The 7,579-nt window shown below is 44.5% G+C and overlaps 1 long non-coding RNA gene and 1 pseudogene across 1 annotated transcript; one reads left to right on the top strand and one right to left on the bottom strand.

Annotated features, from left to right (window-relative positions):
* The first annotated feature begins 2,653 nt into the window (after positions 1–2,653).
* Positions 2,654–4,140, top strand: LOC124904777 (uncharacterized). Its single transcript, XR_007067354.1, has 2 exons — positions 2,654–3,321; positions 3,455–4,140. It is a non-coding gene; the product is annotated as an uncharacterized LOC124904777 (long non-coding RNA).
* SIGLEC31P (sialic acid binding Ig like lectin 31, pseudogene) lies at positions 5,183–5,720 on the bottom strand (annotated as a pseudogene).

Raw genomic sequence — 7,579 nt, forward strand, 5'->3', positions numbered from 1 at the left:
TGGGAGGCTGAGGCAGGTGGATTGCCTGAGCTCAGGAGTTTGAGACCAGCCTGGAGAATATGGTGAAACCCAGTCTCTACTAAAAATGCAAAAAATTAGCCGGCTGTGGTGGCGTGCACCTGTAATCCCAGCTACTCGGGAGGCTGAGACAGGAGAATTGCTTGAACTCGGGAGGCAGAGGTTGCAGTGAGCCGAGATCGCGCCATTGCACTCCAGCCTGGGTGACAGAGTGAGACTCTGTCTCAAAAAAAAAAAAAAAGGAAAGTCATTTCAACAAATAATGGTGGGATCACTGGATATCTACTTGCAAAAGAATGAATTTGGGGCTGGGCGCAGTGGCTCACGCCTGTAATCCCAGCACTTTGAGAGGCCGTGGCGGGCGGATCATGAGGTCAGATTGAGACCATCCTGGCTAACACGGTGAAATTCCGTCTCTACTAAAAATACAAAAAATTGGCCGGGTGTAGTGGTGCGTGCCTGTAATACCAGCTACTCGGGAGGCTGAGGCAGGAGAATGGCATGAACCTGGGAGGCAGAGCTTGCAGTGAGCCAAGATTGTGCCGCTGCATTCCAGCCTGGGCGACAGAGCAAGACTGTCTCAAAAAAAAAAAAAAAAAAAAGAAAGATTGAATTTGGACCCCTACCTCACACTATATATGAAAATGAATGCAAATAGATCAAATATCTAAATGCAATAACCGAAATCGTAAAACTCTTAGAAGAAACATAGTGGTATATATTCATGACCTTGGATTTGGAAATAGTTTCATAGATATAACTGTCAAAGTACAAGCAACAAAAGCAAAACAAGTTGGACTATTATCAGAATTAAAAACATCTATGCTTCAAGGCTGGGCATGGTACCTCATGCCTGTAATCCCAGGAATTTGGGAGGCTAAGGTGAGAGGATCACTTGAGGAAAAGTTTGAGACTAGCCTGGGCAACATAGTGAGATCTAGTCTCTACAAAAAAAAAAAAATTAATAGATGAGTTGGTGCATGCCTGTAATCCCAGCTACTCGAGAGGCTGAGGTGAGAAGATTGCTTGAGCCTGGGAGATCAAGGCTTCAGTGAGCTGTGATCGCACCACCACACATCAGCCCAGGTGACAGAGCAAGACACTGTCTTAAAAACAAAAAAACAAAAAAATCTATGCTTCAGAAGACACCATCGAGAAAGTGAAACAATTCACAAAATGAGAGAAGATATTTGCAAATCATTTATCTGTAAAGGACATGAATCCAGAATTACAACTTAACAATAACAAGACAAATAACCCAATTAAAAATAGGCAAAAGGTTTGAATAGACATTTATCCAAAGAAAATATATGAATGAAAAACAAGTATATGAAAAGATGCTCAACATCACTCGCCATTAGGGAAATGTGTATCAAAACCACGATGATCTGCCCCCTGAAAGGGCCAGACAGGGGAAGGAATGCTGCGGTGGGGTTTTGTCATCCTGAGGATGGATAGGTGACAGAGCCTTCCCAATGTTCTCACTCTCCAATGACAGCTGGAAATGCAGTGTTTTGTTTTGTGAAAATGAAGGCAGATGAGTCATGAGAAGAATGGGCTAAAAATCCTGTAACGTGTGCGCACATATTTATTCCATCTTTATTTTGTTCTAACAAAACACCTTGTATAAAGGAACCAGCCACGTATTCCTTTGTTCCCACTGAAAGAGTTTTTTCTTTATTAAAAAGAAGTGCACACATATTGATCTACTTTAAGCACACACACATCGATCTTTACATTCAATGTAATTCAAAAAAAATCAAAGTAAGATTTTTAATTGACGATTGTAGACTGATTCTGTTACCACAACTGGACTGGGAGTTCTTTGGCTCTCATGTAAGTAGAAATTAACATCATGCCAAACAGAAATTTTCTCAGGCAAGGTTTAAGAGGCTTGAAGCTCAAGCTATGCAAAGTCACTTCCACATTTTTCGGTATCTTTTCAGCAGCACCCCACTCTACTGGTACCAATTTACTGTATTAGTCTGTTTTCATGCTGCTGATAAAGGCATACCCAAGACTGGGGAGAAAAAGAGGTTTAATTAGATTTACAGTACCACATGGCTGAGGAGACCTCAGAATCATGGTGGGAGGTGAAAGGCACTTCTTACATGGTGGCGGCAAGAGAAAATGTGAAAGAAGCAAAAGCGGAACCCCCGATAAACCCATCAGTTCTTGTGAGACTTATTCACTATCACGAGAATAGCATGGGAAAGACCATGCCCCATGATTCAGTTACCTCCCTCTGGGTCCTTCCCACAACACGTGGGAATCCTGGGAGGTACAATTCAAGTTGAGCTTTGGTTGGGGACACAGCCAAACCATATCACTATCCTTTGGGAAACATAAAGTTAGGTTGCCAACTTTATAGCACTTCCCAGTTTAAATTGTAGGAGGACAAGTTCCCTTTTTTTTTTTTTTGAGATGGAGTCTCGCTCTGTCACCCAGGCTGGAGTGCAGTGGCGCGATCTCAGCTCACTGCAAGCCCCACCTCCCGGGTTCATGCCATTCTCCTGCCTCAGCCTTCCGAGTAGCTGGGACTACAGGCGCCCACCACCATGCCCGGCTAATTTTTTGTATTTTTAGTAGAGATGGGGTTTCACTGTGTAAGCCAGGATGGTCTCGATCTCCTTGCCTTATGATCCACCCACCTCGCCCTCCCAAAGTGCTGGGATTACAGGCGTGAGCCACCAGGCCTGGCCGACAAGTTCCCATTTCTTACTAAAGAGAAGTCTTGGCAATAACTGAACAATGTCTCTGGCAGTTTACCCCAGAAGGACAAACTTTGACTTTTACAGGAAGCTGGCCAGGAGTGACATAGGAGCCATCTGTTAAGTTGAAGGAATTGACATTTCTAGATCACGGTGGAAAAACTCCCACCACCCACCCAATGTGGCCTTCACACTGACATGTTTGTTGTGTTCCTTGTATCCAAGGAGCCTGGAACTCAGAATGCATGTACCTCATGGAACATTAAGGAACAGTCTTCATAAGGGCATAAGGGCTGCTGTCCTTGTGACTAAGCACTATTAATACAGTGCCCAAACAGGGACAGTCTGAGTTACACGCAATTTAGAGTCACTCAAATTGATCCCTCAGTTTTTGATTAATAGCATATTGGTGTTTTAAATAAAGTATTTTCAGAAGAGTACAAAGGGCTTTAATTAAATCTGAGTAATTTTAAAGGAAATATATGATCAAAAAAGAGGAAAAATGTGCCTCAAAATAGACATAAATGGCTTAAATGAATGCTAAAACTGAAAATCAAAATAATTTAGAATGCACATACTAATTTGGAAACAGGTAAAACAGACATAAGAGTTTTATTTGTAGGGGGAGGGTCTGTAAAGTTAATTATGTGAACTTCTGCGTTGTAACTATGTATTTTTACAATCTACTCTTTGACTATTTCCTTCTTTGGGGAACAATGATTTAGATATCCTGAAAATGCCACATCAGTAAGTTGAACAAGAAGAACGGGAGCTTTAAGAACAAGATTCAAGATGAAACAACACAAGTGTTGAATATTTTATAAATAGCTAAAGGCAGAAAACGTTGCCAATTATCTCAGACTTCCAGAAAGTGAAAACAAACAAACAAACAAACTAAAGTCTTAATTGAAAAGAAGAAAGAAAGACATGAAGAAAGAAATAGAGAATGCATGTTGAGAGTGGGGACAGGTAAGTACCAGCTGGACTCTTACCCTGGGCTGTTGGTCCTGAGGATGCGGTATAGGTTCAGCCTAGGCACTGGCTCCACCCCTTGAAATAGTTTGGATATTTGTCCCTGCCCAAAATCTCATGTTAGATTGTAATCCCCAGTGCTGGAGATGGGGCCTGGTGGGAGGTGTTTGGATCATGGGGCAGGTCCCTCATGGCACGGTGCTGTCTTCTCGATAATGAGTGAGTTCTTGTGAGATTAGGTCCTTTAAAAATGTGTGGCACATTTCGCCCCTTCTGTCTTGCTCATGTGTTTTTGCCATGTGATGTGCGGCTCCCCTTTCACCTTTTGCCATGATTGTAAGCCTCCTGTGGCCTCCCCAGAAGTCAAGCAAATGCCAATGTCATGTTTGCTGTACAGCCTGCAGAACTGTGAGCCAATTAAACCTCTTTTCCTTATAAATTACCAGGTATTTCTTTACAGTAATGCAAGAATGGCCTAATACACTCCTCAAGGACCTCATCTCTGAGAGATCACACAGTTCTTAAATCAGAGGGGCAGTTCGTTGCTGAATCCAGGAAGACAGGCCCCAGGTCCAGGTTCTGGAATGAGTCCTGGAGGCAGTAAAGGGTCTGCTTGCCTGGTGGGGAATATTCAGAGGGCATCACTGAGGAGGGGGCCCACTCTCTGAGCAGGTGAGGACCAGCAGCCAGAGCTCCCACCAGCCCACAGGGGCAAGGAGGGAGGCCACCTTGGGCAAAGGAGATGAAGGAAAAGGAGGTGAGGGTGCTGAATGAAGGCTGCGGTCCTGTCCTCTGCCTCACCCCCAAAACCCAGAGGTCAGCCTCCAGCCCCTCACACTCCACAGAGAGGCCTTGGGAGGCTTGATGGAAACCCACTGAGTACTGAGCTCCAGGTCCCAGGAGAGCTTATAGCCACCCCCAAGTCACCACCACCTGCTGCTCTGGTAGGGGCCCTGGCTTCTGCCTCCAGGAACCCCTAACAAGCCTCCTCAAGGCCCCCAACAACCTGCGCAAGGACTCTCGGGAAATGCTGAGTTAAAGGCTCTCTGAGGTCACACTAGTCCCAGAGGAGGCTCACCTGTCAGGGGAGGTTGGTGCCATGGTCTGGAGGCTCTGGGTTGAGGATGAGCATTGGAGTTGTGGGGCCCAGGGAGGCCAGGCAAGCCCCCATTCAGGAGGAGGTAGAGACTGAACCCCCCTCACAGACCCAGGAAACAAAGACCACCATCCTTGGGTGTCCAAGTTCCGGGATCTCTGGATCACGGACATTCAGCTGCTGGCTCAGAGGCGGGAGGAGAGAGGGGCAGAGACCAGAACTCAGAGAGGACTTCAGGGGATCCCCCAAGACTGCCCCCTTTTCAAATCTGAGCCTGCTCCTGCCCGCTCACTGGGAGAGGTGAGAGGGTCCCATTCCAGCTCAGCTCGTGGAGTGAGAGGCCCACACTCCATCCCTTGTGCCCTCCCTAGAACCAATTCCGTACCTGGCACATGCACTGACAGCCCGTTAATTCAGTCACATCATCTGACAGTAGGTCCTCTCTTTACCTGAACGTAGCACCTCCCTGTATCCCCCATCTAGGCATCTCTGATGCTCAGGGAGCAGTTATAGGTTTGGGGGTGCCCCAGGAAGGCAAATGGGCTCTGGGTCTCCTCCTACATTTTGTGGGGAGGGTCATTGTGGCCACTGGATCATTCAAATTAAAAACGTGGACTCGGCACCCCTGAGCTGGAAAAACGTCAGACAGGACATTCTGGGGGAGGTTAGAGGCACAGGGCATCAGGACACACAGGCCCTCCTGCACCTACACTGAATTCCTTCACTCACAGCTGGAATCGTGGATCCTGAGCCAGGCACTCTGGAAGAAACATCTGGGGAGGAATAGCTGTGGTTGGTTCCAAAGGACCAACAACCTGGGGCCCCAACAACCCCTCCCTTCTGAACCTCCCTTGGGATCACTCACACTCCCTGCATCCCCACACACACATAAAGCAGAGGCCACAGCAGCAGCTCAGTGGCATCTCTATGCTGGAGAACCAGGCCCACCCCCATACCATCCAGTTCCTCTTTTGGGGAAGAAAGAGGAAAAGCCCCACTGGAAGCCACTGGGAAGGGTCAGGATGGCGATTGAACCCAGAAGGGAAACTTCAGATACACAGTCCTTGGAAATCAAAGAAGATCTAAATAAATTGAGAGAGATTCCATGTTCATGGGTAGGATGACTTGGTATTGTTCAGATGTCAGTGCTTCCTAACTAATCTATAGACTCAACCAATCCCAATCAAAATCCCAGCAAGTTATTCTGTGGATATTGAGAAAGTGATTATAAAGTTTATATGAAAAGACAAACATGCTCAGAATAGCCAACACAATACTAGAGAAGAACAGAGTTGGAGAGCGGATACTACTCGACTTCAAGACAGAGCTATTGTAATCAAGACAGTGTAGTGTTGCCTAAAGAATAGAGAAGGAGCAATGGACCAGAATAGAGATCCCAGAAATAGAACCACATGAATATAGTCAGCTGATCTTTGTCAAAGAAGCAAAGGCAACTTAATGGGGAAAGAACAGTCTTTTCAACAAACAGTGCTGGAACAATGGGATGTCCACATGGAAAAAACAGACACATTTTTCACAAAATTAACTTAAAATGGATCATAGATTTAAATGTAAAAATGCAAAATTATAAAACTCCTAGAAAGTAACAGGAGAAAATCTAGGTGACCTTTGGTTTAGCAATGAGTTTTTAAATACAAGATTGAAAAGCACAATCCAAAATAATTTAAAAAAAGAAAAAAAAAGCACAATACATGAAAGAAAAAAATTTATAAGTTGTTCATTAAAATTAAAAACTACTCTGTGGGCCGGGTGCAGTGGCTCACACCTGTAGTCCCAGAACTTTGGGAGGCTGGAGGCGGGTGGATTACCTGAGGCCAGGAGTTCGAGACCAGCCTGGCCAACATGGTGAAACCCTATCTCTACTAAAAATACAAAAAATTAGCCAGGTGTGGTAGCAGGTGCCTGTAATCCCAGCTACTCGGGAGGCTGAGGTGAAAGAATCGCTTGAACCCGGGAGGTGGAGGTTGCAGTGAGTTGAGATCGTGCCACTGCACTTCAGCCTGAGCGACAGAGGGAGACTCTGTCTCAAAACACAACAAAACAAAAAACAAACAAAAACTTCTCTGTGAAAAAATACTGTTAGACTTAAAAGACAAACCACCATTGGGAGGACATGTTTTCAAAACACATAGCTGCTAAAGGACTTACATACAAAATATACAAAGATCTCATAAAACTCAACAATAAGAAAGCAATGCACTTGAAAAATGGGCAAAAGATCTAACAAAAACTGCAAAGAGGATATACAGATGGTAAATAAGCATGGAAAAAGATGCTTACCATCATATTACCATCATATGTCATTAGGGAATTGCAAATTAAAGCAACAAGATATGACTACACACTTATTAGAATGACTAAAATCCAAAAAGAACTTTCAATATCAAATGGTGGCAAGATTGTGGACAGCAGTTCTCATTCATTGCTGTGGGTATGCACTTTGGAAAACAGTTTGGTGATTTCTTACAAAGCTAAACATACCCTTGCCATATGATCTAGCAATCACACTCCTGGGTATCTGGCTAGGATTTGGAAAAACTGCTCTCATAAATTGATGCCAGGAATGTAAAATGGTACAGCCACTCTGGAAAACAGTTTGACAGTTTGTTAAGAAGAAAACTAAACATACTATATGACCTAGTAATTACATTACTGAGCATTTATCCCAGAGAAATGAAGAGTTATGTTCACACAAAATCCTGTAATAAGAAAACAATTACCAGTGGGAAGAGGCAGCTTACTAATTGGGAGGAAATATTTG

The sequence above is a fragment of the Homo sapiens genome, chromosome 19 (genome assembly GCF_000001405.40).
Source record: "Homo sapiens chromosome 19, GRCh38.p14 Primary Assembly".
In the NCBI taxonomy this organism is placed as follows: Eukaryota; Metazoa; Chordata; class Mammalia; order Primates; family Hominidae; genus Homo; species Homo sapiens.